General features: G+C 42.7%; 1 long non-coding RNA gene across 6 annotated transcripts in view; it reads left to right on the top strand.

The window, feature by feature from the left end:
* The window catches only part of LINC01418 (long intergenic non-protein coding RNA 1418), a 107448-nt gene that overhangs the window by 50436 nt on the left and 36841 nt on the right, over positions 1-20171 (top strand). For 4 of the 6 annotated variants that reach the window (XR_932527.3, XR_001751642.2, XR_001751641.2 and 1 more), the window contains one exon: positions 1302-11348. The exons of 1 other annotated variant lie outside the window; for it this stretch is intronic. This is a non-coding gene — a long non-coding RNA (long intergenic non-protein coding RNA 1418). Of the gene's footprint in view, positions 1-1301; positions 11349-20171 lie in introns of those variants that run through there. One more of the 6 variants, XR_001751639.2, reaches the window with a different exon arrangement.

Raw genomic sequence — 20171 nt, 5'->3', positions numbered from 1 at the left:
TAATCTTACCTGACAACTTGATTGGTCTATGGGATGCCCAGAGAGTTTATTGCACATTATTCCTGGGTGTGTCTCAAGGGTGTTTCCAGAAGAGATTAGCATTTGGATTGGTGGACTGAGTAAAAAGCAGATGGGACTCCTCTATGTGAATAGATATAATTCAATTGGCTGTGGGCCTGAATAGGACAAAAAGGCAGAGAAAAGTTGAATTTATTCCATGCCTGACTACTGAGGCAGGACATTAACCTTCTTCAGCTCTCAGAGCTCCTGGTTCTCAGGTCTGAAGACCTAATCTACACCAGGGACTTTCTTTCTAGGCCTTGGAAACATATCACCACCCATCCTAAGTCTCCAGCTTGCAAAATGCTAAACTTCGTCTGTCTGGACTACTGTAATAAAATACCATAAACTGGGCAGCTTAGATACAACAAAAATTTATTTCTTACAGTTCTGGAAGCTGGGAAGTCCAAGATCAAAGTGCTAGGAGATTTGGTGTCTGGTGAGGACTCACTTTCTGGCTCATAGATGGCACTTCTCGCTGTGTTCTCACGTGGCAGATGGTATGAATGAGTTCCCTTAGGCCTCCTTTATGAGGGTTCCACCCTCATGACCTAATCATTTGCCAATGGCTCTACCTCCAGAAATTGATGTTTTGAAGCTGACACATGCTAATGTTTGAGAACTACTGACTTAGTCGAGCCCCTTTACTTTAGAGACTCAGTGAAGGTCATTCAACTTGTAAGTAGAAAAGGTGGGACTGGAGACGGGCTTGGCGGGGAGGTCATCTGAACTCTGTGATAAATGCTTATATTATAGATTCTTCCAAGGAATGCACTTAGGAAGAGATTTTTCAGTTTTAAGAGCATCAGAGGCACACTACTGGGGTCTGTTAGTATCTCCCAAAATTCATGTGCTGAAAGCTACTCCCCACTATGCTGGTGTTAACAGGTGGGGCTTTTGGGAAGGTTCCACCTTCATGAATGAGATTAGGGCTCTTATAAAAGAGGCCCAGGGGAGCTTGTTTGCCCCTTCATCTATGTGAGGACGCAGCAAAAAGATGCCTTCTATGAAGCAGAGAGTGACCTCTCACCTGACACCAAATCTTCTAGTATCTTAATCTTGAATTTCCCTGAAATAAGCCACCCAGTCTATGGGAGTTTGTTATAGCAGCCCAAATGGGCTAAAATGCACACATCTCATCAAACAATTGTAATAATAAAAAAACCAGTACTATATGCAGGCATTAGGTTTTGCTTCTCAAGCAACCCAGCTAAATAGATGTTATTACCTCCATTTTATAGATGCGGGAACTGAAGCTCAGAAAGGCAAAACAACTTTTCATGCTCTTCTACCTAATAAGTCGGAGAACCAAGATTCAAATTCTAAATGCGGGTCTGATTGAGGCCAAGCAGGTGAGCAGGCTCAATGGGATTCTCAGTGTTGGCCTGGCTTCCACACAAGGAAGAGGCCACTGGCAGGGGTTCCTGTCCTCAGCCAGGCTTCTAGCCTGACACTGGCTGGACAACGCAGAGTGAAGCTGGTCATAGGGCAGGGTTTCCTGAAGCTGTGCCTGCTTCATGAGGCTGCCTGCTGGCCCAGGCTCACCTCTCCCTCCAAAGGGCACAGTGGCTATTTCTGGCCGTCCCAGCCTCTGGCTGTGTCTGTCTTCTTTAACCTTCCTGAGGCTCCAAAGGCCATTAGGAAGCTGGCCGAAGCTTCATGGCCCAATGACAGGACTAGGATCTTACTGGATGGAGGAGGGGAGAGAGTGAGTCTTTAGGTCCGTGAAATTGCTGCCAGCATTTGGCCAGCTGTCGTCCATCAGCCAGAGAGCTAACCAGAGCCTCCCTTGGGGCTGGTCCCTGGAGTGCCATGGAGCAGAGGCCGTGCCAGTTCCTGGCTGGGGGCCAGAAGAAAATCAATATGAGTTGGCCTGCTCCAGCAGGGCCCCCCACATCTGGTGCCGGGAATGACTGATTGAAGGGACTTGTCATAGAATGATGGGAGGCCACAGCTGGAAGGGATTTGAGTGACCATATGGCCCAGTGGTTCGCAAACCCTTTAACACAGTGGAGATCTTTCTTCGAATGAAACTGCAGGCAGTAAAAACCAATACAGAAAACTGTTAGTAGTAGAACTCACTGAGATCCTGGGAACTCCCTGGGCCCCTGGCGGTCTGTGAAACAGCTTGGGCCATGCTCATCTCCTGGAACTCCCTGGTGGTGGAGATGGAAAACAGGACAGAGGGTGAGATTCTGACCTGTGGGGCAGAGCCAGGGCCCAGAGCCCAGGCTCTGACTTCCAGTGGGGCCCAGAAGACTGAAGCCACTCAGGGACTGTATTAATCCAGTCTGGCCAGGAGAGCTGCTTGTCTGTCCTGAGATACCTAGGGGAAGCCCTGTCTGATCACTTTCAGATGCTGGGCAAAGGGAGGCCCTCCCTCCAGAAGGCTGCATCATTAGAGGTTTGAGTCAAGACCCTGGAGGAAACTGCAAGCTCATGGAGCTGGGAGACCTGGGGTCAGCTTTGTCCTCCTATATAAAGGCTGAAAGTCAGGGACACTGAGGCAAGGGCTCCTTCCAGTTATGTCCCAGAAGAAGATAAAAGAAAAACTTCTTTGGGACTGGTGGGAATCTTGGGAGAAAGTGGAAGGATGAGTGGCCTCAAGCATATGGACTGGGTTCTCTTGTCCCATTCTGGGAAAGTGTCAAAGGAACTGAGTGTTTGTTCGTGCCTCTAGGAGAGAAGAGGATTTAGCCTAAGGCAGTGCCACCCACAGGAAAGGAAAGAGGGACAGTGGAGGCTCCTGGTTGGTGGGGACCATGGTCCTTTAGGAATGCTCTTCAGCAGTGCCTCACAGAGAAGAGCAGATTCCTAGTGGAGCATACACTTCAGCCAGCACCCGAGCCCCAGACTTCATTAGTGTTCAGGTTTTACTTACTCTCACCAGTCTCTGGGTTTCAGACACATTCTGGGCTTCATGTGGACCCCAGACTTACTGTATATCCGGGCTACTTCTCACTTCAGATGCTCTCCCCAGAACTGTTTATTGGATTATTCTGATTATTCTCAAAGTTTTATCCATATCTTGGGTTTTATTCAAACCCACTGACCTTTATTCAATGCCATAGAGTTTATGTAGCTGAGAATTTGTTTACTTTCAGACTCAAGACTTTATCCTGTTCCTGCTTCATCAAGCTAAACTCAGAGTTAAGCCTGCCAACCCTCTTCCACCTTCACCAGGTGTCAGTTCTAGCCTGTTACTTGTCTAGTTCTCAGAGGCTGTAGTGCCGTAAACCTTATGTGTACGTTTGGCTTACCGGAATCCATCCTCATTTTAACTACTTAATCACAGGCTTTATCACGGGCACACCTAGTTCCACTTTTACCCAGTTGCCTCTAATGAACTAGTAGAGGGTAGTTAGTGTTCCAAGCATGAACGCTGGAGTCAGACAGCTTTGAGTTCTGCTTAATTTCTTCCGTGTGGCTTCGCATAAGTAACTTAACCTCTCTGAGCTTTGCTTCCAACATATGTAAATGAGATAATAAAGATAATGCATATAAAATGCATAGCACGTCGCCTAGCACATAGTAAGCATGTAGTCAGCTCTGGCTGTTGATTTTAGCATGAGCCTCACAATGAATAGCATGTGGAAATGCAGGATTCAGGGCTAGAGCTGGACAGGTGATGAAGGGAAAAGTAAAAAGTTGGCTAACTTTAGAAAAAGGAAATAAGAATTTGCTCTTTTTTTTTTCTCAGAAAAAGTTAAACATACAGTTAGAAACTTTCATGAACCCTCATAGCTCAGCAGTTAGGAGACAAGTCTGATGTGATGGCAGAGGCTCAGTGAAAGTTGGGACAGAGGCTGGGCGTGGTGGCTCCCGCCTGTAATCCTACCACTTTAGGAGGCCGAGGCGGGTGGAGTTCGAGACCAGCCTGGCCAACATGGTGAAACCCTGTCTCTACTAAAAATACAAAAATTAGCTGGGCATGATGGTGGGTGCCTATAATCCCAGCTACTTGGGAGACTGAGGCAGGAGACTCACTGGAACCCAAGGGGCGAAGGTTTCTGTGAGCCGAGATCATGCCACTTCACTTGGGCCTGGGCAAAAGAGCAAAACTCTGTCTAAAAAACAAACAAACAAAAAACAAAAAACAACAACAACAAAAAGAAAGTTGGGACAGAAGGAGGTCAGGAAGGAGGGAGGCCAGCAGCACCTTATTTTTCAGGGCTTCCTTTTGGGGATGGGCTGCCCCTGGGCTGGGTCAGCCCTGGGCTGGGTCAGCAGGGGTCCTGGGAATTGTTTCTAGCATCCCTTATCCTACCCAGCCCTGTGCCTCTCCCCTCAGCGGAGCCAGGTCTTTGTTTTCTTTGTTTACTCTTTGGTGTCATAGACTCTCTCACTTGGAGAGCTCAGAGGTGGCTAGAAGACTGTAGGGAATGAGGGAAGGGTGTGGGATTCAGAGGGTGGCAAGCTGTCAGTGCAGAAAGCGTTGGATCCTGCTAGAGTTTGACAGGTTTAGAGGACAGAGAGAGCTGGCACTTGCTGGTGATATCCAGAAATATGTTATTAATACGTGAGGCTTCATCTCCTGACCTCACTGCAACAAGCAATGAGGAACTTGTGTGAAGTAGTTTAAGAGTGTGTGTGTGTGTGTGTGTGTGTGTGTGTGTGTGTGTGTATGTGAGAGAGAGAGAGAGAGAGCAAGAGCACAATTAATAAATCTTAATGGCTCCTCCCCAGTCCTATTCTCCAGTCCCCCAAATCTTAAATACGCCTTTGTAAGTGAGGGCCCTCAGCACCAAAAGTTAAGTCTCTGCCATACCACTTCTCCATAGTATCCCTGCTAGAGCTGGCTATGTCTGTAAATACTGATGATAATAATATTATGAATGATGATAATGATGGCAACCTCTTAGTGAATTCCTATTCTAAACCGGGTAGTGCATATGCGTGCTCTCATTTAATCTTCACAACCCTGAGAGGCAGGTAACGGAATTATCCCCATTTTACAGACGAAGAAACAGAGTTTCAGTGAGCAGAGGTGAACCCAGGTCACCCAGCAACCTCGTGATAATGTTGAAAGCCTGCCTGTCCAAGGGCCCTGCCAAGCCAATGCCCTTCACCTCTTTGGCAGTGTTCTGCCTTCCAAATGCAAGCATGGAAGCTGCCCACCCACCCAGTGCCAACTGTCTTCAAAAGATTGTTCATACTCTCTTCTTTGGTGGTACTGTGCAAATATGGTGCCTGAGTTCCCTATTTCACCCTGACATTCAGCATGGCAGGGAACCCGACAGCCCCTTTGCCTCTCTTTCTTTGTCTTTCTCCTGCTGCATTTCTCCTTTTTACTTTGATCTCCCATAGTTAACTCCTGTCCTCAAATGGGGGCCTTCTGAGGCCTCTGGCTCACTTTGTGTGTTAAACACTTGGACTGAGCTCAAGTTATTTTAAAAAAGCCCCAACTGTGATGATATGCAGCCCTGCCTCTTCCCTTTTGGTGCTCTGGTCACAGGTTTATTTTTATAATGAGCCTCTGCCTCTTGTCTCCACTGTGGACTTAATTGCCTGTTACACTAGAAAGAATGCCAACTGCACTTTGCAGAAACCGAGTAAAATCATACCATAATGATCTGTTAATTTCTTCCAAACTGTTATTTGTTTATTTGTCTACTTTTTTCCTCACAGTTGTGAAGGGATTTAGAGGGGAAGAGGAGGGAGAGAGTTTGTTAATTCGAATGTATTTATCATTTTTAGGATCATTTTCTCCCAGAGATCCACAGAAATTCCTACAGAACATTGTGTTGAACTTTCTGTCTTCTGGGCATTTTAAAACTAGATCCCTCTTTTAAGACATTTGCCTCAAGCTTGGGGTCAGGATAGGGACAAGTCCATCCCAGAATGAGCTGAAGGTGGATAAGGGGCCAAGACAGGGGGTACTCAGGGCCGACTTCCCCACCAAGCACAGCAGGCCCAATGCCCAGGGCTCTCTGTACTTTTAGGAGCCCCTGGAAATGCCTTAATTTCTTCTAAAATTAGCAGAAAGAAAATGAATATAATCAGAGCTGGAGTATATTTTTCTTTATATCAGTGCACTTATAAAATAGAATATTTAATATTGCTTTATGGAGGAAGAAGCCCATGAAGTTAAAAGCACCCAGGGCCCGTGGAAGTCATAATACCACCAGCCCGTGTTCTGTCAATGCCAAAGATCACAGGCGCTCTCCCTTCTCCCTCCCTTCTGCTCTCTTCTCGGTCCTTCTCAATCTCCCTTTCTCTTTGTTTATTTCTCTCTTCCTTCTTATGAATCCATGTTTAACGCCTAAAATTATCTGTCTAAGGAGACATAATTAGTGGAGCGGCTGAGGCTGACCTGGGACAGGAACCTGTGCTGTGCTGCTGTCTTGCTTTAGGTGTTCTTCCAGCGTTGGTACTGAATCACTCCTTGCTTCTATATCAATTTAAAAAACCACCAAACGACAGTTGAGAAAGGGAATGCAAAAGTCATCAAGTGCCATAGTTTGCAAACCATATTTCAGCTGTAGACACACACACACACACACACACACACACACACACACACACACACACACGAGGTCCCGTGGGGGTCTCTGGAGGTTTTGGAACATGGGTTCCTACAGCTGGCCCTGACAATCCCTGGGCCAGCCTGGCCTCGGCTTCTCATTTCAGGGAAGAACAGTGGTGCCAGGAGGCTGAATCTTACCCGAAGCCCCAGGGCTTGTCAGCAGCAAGCCCATGTTGGCCCCAGGGCTCCTTCGTAGCATTCATTTTCTTAGACCATACTTCAGAAACCTTTAATTTGGTTTGGCCATAAGGATTCATTGATGCCACTTTGGTAACCACAGGTTCATGCACAGTAAGATGAATTTTGGGGCAGGGTAAATACTAGACTCCAAAATTACACTCTTGTAAAATACTCAGCACCACATCATGAATCAGGCATTATTTACATTCAACAGGCAAGGATCCAAGCCTGTGCCTTTTCCATATATTAAGTTGATGCAACAGCAATTGCTTTTGCATCAACCTAATATTTTGCTTCCTCTTTAAAAAAGACAGTCAGGAAGTGCCTGGCCCCTCCTTCTTCATCCTGCTGCCCACCTCCCCCTCCTCTCTGCTCCTCAGTCTTTTCCCTTCCTTTCCTTCCCTGGTCCTCTAGATCTGACAGGAACCTTGCTCCCTCCCTGCCTTCCCTTGGGTCCCTGTGAAGCCCAGACTCAGGCCCATCCTCAGCACAATATGAACAACCAACAGTGCTTTCAAAGCCCTTGAAGAATGTTTTCAATTATAATTCACATGACTTGGGCTCTGCTTTTCCAAAGTCTGAGTTAGCAGCTGCCAGAGCCCTAAGCTAAGCAGGACAGAGGCAGGGCGCGGGTGGCAGCGGGGGGAAATGGGTTCTGGGTTCTGTATACAAACCTGATCATGAAAGTAAAATATGTCATTATAAAATTTCATTACGTAGATGAAAGTGAAAAGAAAAAAATATGTAATTCCACCATGTGGTGTAGTGCTATGCAGGGTGTCTTTGCATATCTTGTACATGCATGCATAGGCTTATAGATGTGTATATATGCACACTATAGTTTCCCTTCTATTCTATAAACTTTGGGTTTATAAAAGTGGCAACATATTTAAATACTTCTTGTCATCTGTTTCTTACCTTTCCTACCTTTTTTCTGTTGTTTTCCTGTTATTAAATAGTCTACATTATGTTTAGTTCCTGACCTCACTGGGAATAGCTGCTGAGGGCTGACCTTGGGGAGTAGGTTCTTAGTGTTGGCAAATATTCCTGTCCCCAAGCAAGGCAAAGAAGGCAAGATTCATTGCTTCCAAGACCATGCCGGCTTGGAAAAGGAAGCCATGAGTGCCCATCAGATTGGCCTCAATGTAAGCTTCTTGGATTCCTTGGACCAGAGACCCCAAGAAGAGAGAGAAGTCTCCAATAAGGGGCAAAGGGTGGGTGTTGCCCCTCCACATCACTTGGCAAATGCTTTTGTGTGTGTGTGTGTGTGTGTGTGTGTGTGTGTGTATGTAGAGTTGTATGCTCTACAGCTGCATGGTATGCCTTACATTGGATAATTTGTAATAAATTTAAAACCCTTACATTGCAAATAATTTAGTTTATTGCTGATAGCTTCGCTCTCATAAAAGTGCAGAACAATTTACAAAGATGATTTTCTATTTTATTTTTGTCTCTGTGGAAGGATATGAAAGGAAAAGAGGTCTTTGAGTTCCATTCTCCCCCATTTTGACTTTCCCTCCTTTTAACACTTTCTTTGCTGCAGGGGCATGAAGACATTCTTCCTGGCTTTTGTTTGAGTAAGTCTCAGTTTATTGAGGGGATCATGCAAAGAGCAAGTACAAAGGGGCTTTGTCTGAAAGAGGAGTTTTGGAGTCATCAAAGGAAGCAGAGAGAGTAGAAGGATGTGAGTCTGGGCCTGACAGGGCCCCCGGGGGTGGCAGGACCTCACCAGGAACAGCTGCGGAGGGGTGACCTTGGGCAGTAGCCTCTTGGTGTTGGCAAATAATCCTGTCTCCAAGCAAGGCAGAGAAGGCAAGGTGCATTGCCTCCAAGAGACCATGCCAGCTTGGACAAGGAAATCATCAGTGCCCACCAGAGACCCCAGGAAGAGAGAGGAGGTTTCAAAAAGGGCCAAGACTGATTTCTCACCTTCTTGGTAGGATTGTGTGGGGAGGCTGTTATATTTAGTTTGATTTAAGCTTATAAAGTATGTTGATATTTCTTGCATACCCAAATCTACACATAAGAAACTTGCTCCATGACTAACATTTCAGTGAATTTCTTTGCAAATACACAAACTTATTTTGTTGAGATGAAATCCTAAAAGTGGAACTGCAGGATTAAAAGAGATGCGTATTTTGAAAGACCTTTTGAATTATCCCAAAAAATGTTGACTTAATTTTCAAAGCCATCAGTATAATTCAAAAGTGTTGACTTTCCACATAGCTGTTCCTGGTGCATGTCAAGGTTGAAATCCTGAAGTCTCCTGTCTTGGAAGTGGAGGAATTTTCTAATTAGAAACAGATTTGGTTTTCTGGAAGAAACTCTCTGGAATCCTTTATTAATGGGGGTTCCATGAGAAAATAAAGCAGAAAATGATCCCAGTGACTATTTCCAATTCTCCCAAGCTTGGTATATAGCTAGAACCATCCTAGACAGATAGGGAGAAAAGTTAATTTGGTTACTTACAAGATATGCTTTGGACTTAATTCTCCCCTGGAAGGGAACCTGGTTGGAAAAGGCTACTCTAGCCTTGCACTCTGTGGTCCTTGGTCCTCTCTCTGGTAGACTTCCTTTTCTCTTATCCTCCTTGACCATATGAGAAGTGGGTATAGAGGCAATGGTTCTCTTTGGGAGCTACACAGCTTTTTCTGCTCTCTCTCTCTTTTTTTTTTTTTTTGAAAAGGAGTTTCATTCTTGTCACCCAGGCTGGAGTGCAGTGGCACGATCTTGGCTCACTGCAACCTCCGCCTCCTGGGTTCCAGCAATTCTCCTGCCTCAGCCTCCCGAGTAGCTGAGATTACAGAAACCTACCACCATGCCCAGCTAATTTTTGTAATTTTTAGTAGAGATGAGGTTTCACTATGTTGGCCAGGCTGGTCTTGAACTCCTGACCTCAGGTGATCCACCCACCTCAGCCTCTCAAAATGCTGGGATTACAGATGTGAACCACTGCATCTGGCTTCTGCTCTCTTCTTACTCCTGCAACTTGAAGCCAAAGTTCTATATCTTGAACAGTTTTTTTGCTTAATGTTAGCTTCTTTAGCAATTCATAATTCCCTTTAAAACTTGGAAGACTTCTGATTTCTTTGGTTTCATTCAGTACTATGTGCTAAGCAACCACTCCCTCCCCTCATTTCTTTATCAGTTTCTTTGCTTCCCCACTTTAAACCACACTATTAATAAAGGCATCTACCTGAATGTATCTAGAACAACCTTTGAGAAGTGTACAAATCATTTTCACGCTGCTGATAAAGACATACCTGAGACTGGGCAACTTACAAAAGAAAGAGGTTTAATTGGACTTACAGTTCCACTTGGCTGGGGAAGCCTTTCAATCATGGTGGAAGGCAAGGAGGAGCAAGTGACATCTTACACGAATGGCAGCAGGCAAAGAGAGAAGGAGAGCCAAGCCAAATGAGTTTCCCCCTTATGAAACCATCATGTCTCATGCAACTCATTCACTATCGTGAGAACATTGCAAGAAAGACCTGCCCTCATAATTCAATTACCTCTCAGTGGGACCCTCCCACATCATGTGGGAATTCAAGATGAGATTTGGGTGGGGACACAGCCAACCCATATCAAGAAGGATACATCCTTACTATAAACATAGCCTGGAGTCTCTTGATTCCTCTGTGAAGTTTTACTGGGTTTTGTGACTCAAAGCCGTTAAAAATTCTGACTTGTCCTATTTGGGGTCTAGAAGCAGTTGGCTTTTTCACTCCTCATTGCTGCAAATATCTGAAATCTTTCTGTTCTCTTTTATTTTTGTATATAAGCCAGCCACTTCTTTCCTCAGTGCAGCTCTTTCTCATAATACCTTGCCAAATTCAGCAAATAACAACCAGCATCCACATCTAGTGTTTTGTTTTCTAACCTTTTCTCTCTCCTCTAGGGTCCGTAGACACATGGACTACCTATTAAGTCACTTCAGATGTCAGGTTTTCCAAATGTTTTGCTTCTGAATAACATGATATCCAGCCTCCAGCCTGTTATGTTTCCTCACTGCTACCACTACTCCCTCCTAAGCCAATCCCATTTTCAGTAATGATTTTTGTACTAGTCAGGAAAAGCAAAGTGCTGTAATAAACGGCCTCAAATCTCAAAGGCTTAATGTCATAAATACGTCTTCTTTGCTCATGCAAAGTTCCATCGCTATTTTCATGGTTAGGAGGCTCTCCCAGCTGGTCCTTTTCCATATGGTGCTTCTCTAGGTTAAGGCTTCTTCCACCAATGTGATACCACCACCAGTATGTGGCCACCAAGGTTACCGCAAACAGGGAAGAGAGAGGAAGTTTGTGTTGTTGTTGTTTTTAAGTGGAGCCAGTCCTGGAAGTAGCTTGCATCTCTTCCTTCCATATTTTATTGCCCAAACTCAGTCACATGGCTATATCCAGATATAAAGCAGCCAAAAATATAGTCTACCAGAGTAAGTATACTAGAGTACAAACGTGGTGAGGCCAGGGTCTTATACAATGCCTGATACACAGTAGATGTTTAATAGATGTCTGATAAGGTATACATTGAATTTTAAATCTACTTCCACTTATCGTTTCCTTTATTATTTCTACTTTTGGTATCCTGCTTTAAAATCATTTTTACTTGAAGTTTATATAAAAATATTTTAATTTCTAAATTAAAATATTGTATTTGTCTAAAATTTATTTTAAAGGTGTGGGGAGAAAGGATTTACATTTCTTATTTTCGATTATTCAATTGCCCCAAAACTATATTGAATATATTCTTTTTTGTTGTTTACTGCTGAATTCTTTTTTTTGGCCTTAAAAAATGTTGGAGATTGTACTAAATTCTTAATTATAATTGGGTTGGTTTTAGTGTTTACTGCTCTATTTCTGGTCTTTGTTTTTTGTTTAACCCAATACCAGATCACAATGTTTTAATTATTACAGTTATATTAGATTTTAATATCTAGCAGGGTACCTCTTTTATTTAATTAATAAAACACATTTGGTCTTATTTATTATTCAAGATAAATGTTGAAATACTTTTAGACACATTTTTAAAAATCCTTTAGAAATTTGTATTGAGATCATTTTAAATCCATTAGATAATTTGAGCTTAGCTGATGTTTTTGTTTTGATTCTCCAAAAAGAGGAATCTGCTGTGTCTTCTAATTTTTTCAACTCTTGTTCTGTGTTTTTTTTCAGTAAAGGTCTATAGTTTTTCTTTTTATGTATATGGTTTATTTTTGTTTTGGCTATTCTTAGATATTAACATATTTTTGTTGCTGTAATGATTTAAAATTTTTTATGCTACTACTGATTGTTTCTGGCTTACAGGAGTGCTATATATTATTGTATATTGTTCTGTGACTGGCTGTATTACTGAACTGTCTCATTAATTGTAATTAGTTGTGTTAGTTTTTCTAGCTGACTTCCCTGGTTTTCCAGATAGACAATTACATCATCTCCAAATAGCAATAATTTGTTTCTTAATGTTCAGTACTTATTTCTATTATTCTTTCTTGTTTCATTTAGAAATGTATAAATAATAGTAGGATTATCTGGGCTTGGTGGCTCACACCTATAATCCCAGCACTTTGGGCAGCCCAAGGCAGGTGGCTCTCTTGAGGCCAGGAGTACAAGACCAACCTGGCCAACATGGCGAAACCCTATCTGTACTAAAAATACAAAAATTAGCTGGGCATGGTGGCACATGCCTATTAATCCCAGCTACTTGGGAGGCTGAGGCACAAGAATCCCTTGAACCCGGGAGGTGGATGTTGCAGTGAGCTGTGATTGTACCACTGCACTCCAGCCTGGGAGACAGAGTGAGACTGTCTCAAAAAAAAAAAAAAAAATCGTAGGATAATGTGCTTGGTTGCTTTCTTTTTGACCCTATGACATGCTACACATTAGTTTACAAAATGTGCTCTATAGTAGTCCATTCCTGGGGACATTAATGATAAAAGCTTCCATGGTCAAAGTGTTTATGGTTAAAGATTTAAATTTTATTCACTGTAGTCATTTTCAAAACTTTTTATACTGCATTTCATCATTCCGAATGGGTTATTTTACTAAAAAAATAAGGATGTAGTATGCATTTTTTTTCTAAATTCCCTCTCCTCTCCTCTCCTCTCCTTTCCTTTCCTTTCCTTTCCTTAGATAGAGTTTTGCTCTTGTCGCCCAGGCTGGAGTGCAATGGCGCCATCTTGGCTTACTGCAATCTCTGCCTCCTGGGTTCAAGTGATTCTCCTGCCTCAGCCTCCCGAGTAGCTGGGATTGCTGGCGTGCGCCACCACGCCAGGCTAGTTTTTTTGTATTTTTAGTAGAGACAGGGTTTCAGCACGTTGGCCAGGCTGGTCTTGAACTCCTGACCTCAGGTGATCCACCTGCCTCAGCCTCCCAAAGTGCTTGGATTACAGGTGTGAGCCACCACGGCTGGCATTCTAAATTCTTTTCATCATGGATTCCAAACATCTTCCCCAAATCTGGGGAAGAAAGGTAAGATGGGGAGAGGGAAGGTAGTGGACAGCACATTCACAGAGCTCTTGCTTAGCTGAAAATATCTTGGGAAGCCTTGTTTAGTGTTTTATGTTTTGGGTATAGTTGGTTTAATATTTTCTGTGTCATGTTATGGATGTATCATTCTATCTCTAGTTTACAAAGAGCTTCATCAATTATTCATCTTGATTTTTATCAAATGAACATCTATCAAGTTAATCATGTGATTTTTCTCCTTTGACCTACTAATATAACTGATACATTTCACAAACCATCCTTTCATTTCTAGAATAAATCTTACTGTGGCTATACAATATACTTTGATATCTGAATTCAATTTGTTTAAATTTTTGTATTTATATTTTTTAGATATTAGCCTGTAGTTTATTGAACAGAATTACCTATCCAGTCACAGGTAACAGATGTATGCATGGAAGAAAGAGGAGGATTCCTGTTCCTCTTAAGAAACTTCATCCCAATAGCAAAGGGGAAGAAGTATATTGGAGAACTCACTCCATCTCTCCTGGGCAGGATCGAGTGAAAGGATAGACAGCCTAGGAGTATTAGAGTAACAGAGCTTTCTCCTCATGAGAGATGACACCAAGAATAAGAAGAAACAACCAGGTCCCCTCCTCTCCACTGTGGCTGGTTTCAGGTTTGGTAGTAAAACACCAGAACTAGCATAAAGTCAATGCTTTCTTCACAGCAAGGAAAGCATTTTGAGGCAGAAGACAACTTGAAGCTTCATCTATTGGGTCCAAGGTAAGAGTACAAATGGAGGCCCACTTACGAGATGTCCTAACATTTAAACATTAGCAGTCAAGCTAACACATTATTAAATCAATATGTCCTATATTTTTACCATGAGAAATATGCCCTCATTCATGATGACCTGAAAAACTAAGTTAGAATTTAGATTTGAACTAAAATCTGGACTTTCTGGATTTTGGCATCAGTACATGGCTGTCAAGAAGATTTGTTTCCCAGACTCTGATGAGTGGCCAACCCTGCTCTCCCCATATCTCTGGGTTTGTCCTATTTCATGTCTATGTTTGGACCTCCCAGCCTCTGCTTCCTAGCTAAGCCCACGCTGGTCACATCCCCACTTTGGTCTCCTCTTGGGCATGGTGATTCACACACTGGTGGTGTGTGAGCTCAAGGACAGTTGGGCAGAGAATTTTGTGGTCCTGGCTACCTGGAGAATTCTCTAGAAGAGGGTAGCCTCCCTCCCTCCCTCCCTCTCTCCCTTCCTTCCTGCCTTCCTGCTTTCCTGCCTTCCTTCCTTCCTTCTTCCCTCCTTCTTCCTTCCTTCTTTTTACTTCATCAGTGTTCCTCTCTTCAGATCGACAGAAACTAATTTATAAGCCAAGTGAATTCAAACAGGCCGGATGCTCTAGCCCTGGCTGTTTAGCTGTGGAATTTTTGGAAGCCATCTCTTCTCCCTGAGCCTCAGTTTTCTCATTTGCCAAGTGAAAAGTTGCCACAAGGCATTTTATAATATCACTTACAAACATTCCAATAGAGAATGATGCTGTGATTCTAGAAACAGGATTTCTTATATTTTTCTTTTCCTTTCTCCTCTTTCTTATAAAGACTCCTAGCATTCTGAGAAAGAGAACAATAATGGATGTTGTAAATGATGTATTTCCCTGTGGCTACAGTCTCCTATTTTTTGTGGTACAAATGGGAAGTGGTGTTGGACATTCACCATTCTGAATTCTTCAAACAGCTGTCAATCCTTGCCATGGATTTTAAGCCATGCATAAATATGAATGTCAGACGAATTTCCTGACTAGACAAGTAGTTGTTTATCAGTTTATTTAAAAAATGCTTCTTTCGTTCTGTTTCTTTGCCACACCTTTAATAGCAAGGCTTCACTTATATAGAAATGAGATGCATTACAGGCCCAGAAATCTGCTGCATTCATTAAAGAGCAATTGCACATCTGTCTTATCTCTACTACTTGAGTGTAAATGCCTCCAGGGCAGAGGCTGGTACGAGGTGTAGCTTGCATCCTCCCCGGGATGTGTGATGGCAGCCTGGGGAAGCTGGCCCATGTGGGCCCCAGCTTTCCTTAGCATCTCGTCATTCAGCTGGAATACTCTTAACCCTCTCCATATGCTTATCTAGGGGAATGAAAACTTCCTTCTGTCTTCCTAGGTTCTGTGTCTGGGCTTAAGAATTAAATGGACATAAGACCGATTAACAGGGAAAAGGCATACACATTTTATGCGATATTTTTATGTGTACACAGGAGTCTTCAAAAGGGAAATAAAGACCCGAAGAAGCCACGAAGCCCAAAAGCTCATATGCCTTTTTACACAAAGAACGATAAATTGCAGGATCTGACAAGACAAAGGGGCTGGGACTCAGGGCAGTAAACTGTGGGACAGTGACTAGGAAATATATGGGGGAAACTAATGGGAGATAAGGGTTATTTTAGTAGGTTTGTTTGTACAGGTCCATTGACTCCCAGTCTCTGGTGATAAGAATATCCTTCTCTTCCTGGTACAGGGAGGACACCTTTCTCATGGGAAATTTTATGAACTACTTTTAGGTAGAAAGGGGGAGGTCAGGGAGCCTTTCCTGCATCTGCTGTTTCTCAAGTGCCTTCATCTCAAAATAATCAATATGCCAAAGTGTCAGATTTTGGCATGGCATGTTCTGGCCCCCTTTCACTTACCAAGAGGCTTTCTCTTCTAAATCTATGCCCATGGGAAATATCTAATATGGTGATAACCCAGGGAGCTGAATATCTTCAGACCAATATGGCTGACCAGTCATGGAAATGTGTAGGGTACTCCTAAGGGGCCACGATACTGCAATCTCCGTGTGATATCTGGAAAGGCCAGCACCTGTGAGACCTGGGAGGAAGTCACAGTGCTTTTCTATAGGAATTGAGAAGATCCTGGAAACGTGCAGCCTGGGAAAATGACAGAGTTGGACCATTCATAGACAAATAATAGCTCTTGCCTCCTTTATCACTTGGAAATCCAATAACGAATCCTCAAGTCTTATTCTGAAAAAGAGACTCTACCTTGAAAAGGATATGCATTCGTAAACAAGACAAACTTCTACTTGTGCTAGCCAGTCGGATCTGAGTTTGAGTCTTGACTCTGCTTTTACTAACTAGCTGGGTGAACCTAGACAAGTTACTTCATCTTTCTGAATCTCAGTTTCCTCATCTATAAAATGGGGATAGGAGGACTGTTTGAGAATCAAAATGTATTTTAAGCCCTTAGCTCAATATCTGGAACAACAGAAGACCCATGCATTGAAGTCCCTCTTAAGCACAAGATAAAACAGGAATGTTCTGGATTCTTAGACAATAAGAATTCCCCAAAGAGGTACAGTGTTTTACAGCCTGCAAAATTCTATCTCACTTTTGTGGTCTCTACTGAACTTCACAACAGCCCTGTGACTAGGGTTGGCATGAATTCAGAGTTTTGAGTGGCTTACTTAGAATTATACAACAAGTAAGGATGCAGAACCAGATGCAGAACCAGGTTTTCTGACTACTTCTCTGCCCTCATCAGTCCCTGGAAGTCATGATGTCCAGGCTGCATTGTAATTTAATTTCAGCTTGTGTTATTCTGCTTTAGATTTGAAAAAAATATTCTATATCAAGATGATGACGGAAGCCTGTTAAAAACCAGCTGGCCAAATTATAAAATTACGTTTATGTTTCACTAGGAATAGCAATCAATTTTTTAGTTATTTATTCTATAGGGGTTGTGCATACAATTTATTCCATCCAGTTGATCTCCAGATGCTTCTATAGTGGGAATTTCCAGCATTGGTCTGATTTTTCCCCCTGAATTCCTTAGATCAGAAGTGGAGAAGCTCTATCCTTAGTTCAGTTTCCTCTGGTTGTAAACAAATTTAAACAACAAATGTTTTATGGCTCATGTTCCATCTCAATTATACTCTGCAAACACAATTATAACTGCATCTGAAAGAAGCTCCCCTGGTCCACAGAGGCACAAGCACTCAAATTGTCAGTACTGGAAGGAATTTGGGAGGTCATCTATCTCAGTGAGTTCATTTTCCGATTAGAGTCTTGGGGTCCCAGAATAGGGATATAACTGTCTCACAGCTGTAGAAACCTAGAATTCCTGACTCCCATTTCTTTTTTAATTTCATCACAACATGCTACAGACTTTTCTTGAGATCTTAAGCAAGAAATCAGTATAAGAAAGTAGGGGAGAGGAACCAATCAAAAGAAAGTTTTGAGAGATGCTTAAGTGTTAGGGCTAGGCAAGGAAGAGAGTAGAGAAGGAAGCACGGAAAGCCTGTTAGCAGTTGGAATGTTGACCTCAGGGTCAGGAATGAAATAAGGGTTATTTAGAATAATATGTGTCCAAAGTTCTGCAAAGGCATGGGGAGGAGAAGTTATAACATTTTCTTCTTCCTACTAGTGGTCAGTGAATTTTTTTTTTTTTTTTTTTTGAGACTGAGTCTCACTCTGTTTCTCATGCTGGAGTACAGTGGCATGATCTCGGCTCAGTGCAACCTCCAGTTCCTGGGTTTCGGTGATTCTCCTTCCTCGGCCTCCCAAGCAGCTGGAATCACAGGTGTGCGCCACCAGGAATGGCTACTTTTTTTTTTTTTTTATTAGTAGAGATGGGGTTTCACCAAAGTGGCCAGGCTGGTTTTGATCTCCTGACCTCAAGTGATCCCCCTACCTCGGCCTCCCAAAGTGCTGGGATTACAGGCGTGAGCCACCATGCCTGGCCATGAATCTTTTAAGAAAAATAAAACAAAAAGCTAATGTCATTTTCTCCAGGGCAAGGATTTTGTTGCATTCCTAGTCTAGAGCAACACATGGCACATTGCAAGTACTCAAGAATACCTGTGGACTTGGGAGGCCAAGGTGGGCGGATCACGAGGTCAGGAGGTCGAGACCAGCCTAGCCAACATAGTGAAACGCCATCTCTGCTAAAAATACAAAAATTAGCTGGGTGTGGTGGCATGCACCTGTAGTCCCAGCTACTCGGGAGGCTGAGGCAAGAGACTCTCTTGAACCTGGGAGGCAGAGGTTGGAGTGAGCTGAAACCGCACCTTTGCACTCCAGCCTGGGTGACAAAGCAAGACTCCATCTCAAAAAAAAAAAAAAAAAAAAAAAGGGAATACCTGTGGATTGAATATAGTATCTTTACAATTATAACTCACAATGGCTTCTGGTGTTCCTCTAAAGAGAACGACAGCTTATGCTAATGTGATTAAATAATCCAAAAAGCTTTATAGCCATGTGCATTTATTTGACTAATTAGTAGCCTATGGCTTCTATGTTGATTGCTTGAATGTGCTGTAATAAATGGAGCCAAGGTGGTTGAAACAGTTGTGATGTACAATTTTAAAGGCACCCAATCTTGAAATAAAATCATGTTGATTTTTATTTGAATATTAAAACAACCTTGCCATGAACGGTTATGCCCTCTGAGCCTCTGTGCGTGCGGGCTGTTCCCTTTGGCCATAATTACTTCCTCCCCATCTATCCTTTCTGTCCCCCTCACCTGAGAATTCCACCCTACTAATTCCTGATATATTTACTTTCTCTATGTTCCTACTGTACATATTATATTTATTATTTGCTTTAGTTTTGTCCCTTCTATTGATTAAAAGCTCTTTGAGGGCAAGTAACTTAGCTGCATATTAACTCAGCGACGTTCCTAGTACCTAGCACAGTTCCTGGATTAGAGGAAGAATGTAATCATGTCTCAGACTTAATGAATTAATTTGGATTAAAGTTGGCTAAAGTAGTAAAATGAGCACTAACGTAAGAGTCATCAACCTGGTTTGATCCTTTACAGTTGATGCCTATGATTTAATTAAAGTGGTTTTACCTCCCAGAATGACCAGCCTTCTTAGTAGCAGACAAACAGAATCCTCTCTACCTGGTCTAAGAAAATGAGATAGATTAAGAGACATACATAGCTCATAATATCATAGGGAGTGTAAAAGAAACAAACTTTAGCTTGTGCTTCTGAGAGCACCCCCAAAAGCCATGCCACTGGACTGAGTCATCTAAGGAACTTCTGCCTGTATATGGTCATGCCAGCTCCGGAATCACACTCCTCTGCTGGACTCCCCTCTATTAAAGTAAACGCCTTGAGCCTTGCCTGAATTTATCTGAATGGTGGAACAGAAATCATTTAGGGCTCTATTCTAATGGATTCTGGGAAGTGTTTTTAGCTTTGCAGACTGTGACTTCAGGGAGGCATACTGGAAGTAGGCTGGGATGGGAATTGCATGAGGCAATCCACAGTATCTACCATTCAGAACCTTAGACTCCCTATAAGCACAGTCGGCATAATAATAATGATGGTCACGATGATAGTGATGACAGCTGGCTTCCATATAAACACTGAGCAAACACCGTGTGCTGTTTGACATTTTTTATGCGTATGTGTCTTTACTCAATTTATCCTCCCAACAAGGTGTTTGCATTATTACAATCTTCATTTTAGAGATGTGAAAATTGAGGTGCAAAGCAGTTATGTAAGCTGCTCAAAGTCAAAATGCTATTGACAGTGGAGGCAGGGCATAACCCACGTTCTTAGCTACCTCTCCTCTCTGCCAGACAGGAGTATTGAATCCTTCAAATACGAACATGCATGTGACCTGGCTTTGTCACCTGTGAAGCATCATGCAAATGTTCTTTAATAGTTTTGCTAAACATGTAGTATCACAACTTCATTTTAGTTCCCCTCACAACTCACATTCTTTTTTAAAAAGTCACAAAAGATTGTAGATCTTCTGCTAGAACAGAGATCCAAAGAGCTGAGAGGCGAGACTCGCTATTTCTATTTCACAGAGGAAGAGACTGTGACCCAGGGAGTTTAGCCATGGAGACCTGAATTTCCAACCCTCAGTTATGATTCTTCTACTGCATCTCACATTTAGAAATGATCAGAGAAACTCCAGAAATAAAATGC

This window comes from Homo sapiens, chromosome 15 (assembly GCF_000001405.40).
Source record: "Homo sapiens chromosome 15, GRCh38.p14 Primary Assembly".
In the NCBI taxonomy this organism is placed as follows: domain Eukaryota; kingdom Metazoa; phylum Chordata; class Mammalia; order Primates; family Hominidae; genus Homo; species Homo sapiens.
Note: the sequence above shows the minus strand (reverse complement) of the source record. Positions and strands in the feature narration are given on the sequence as shown.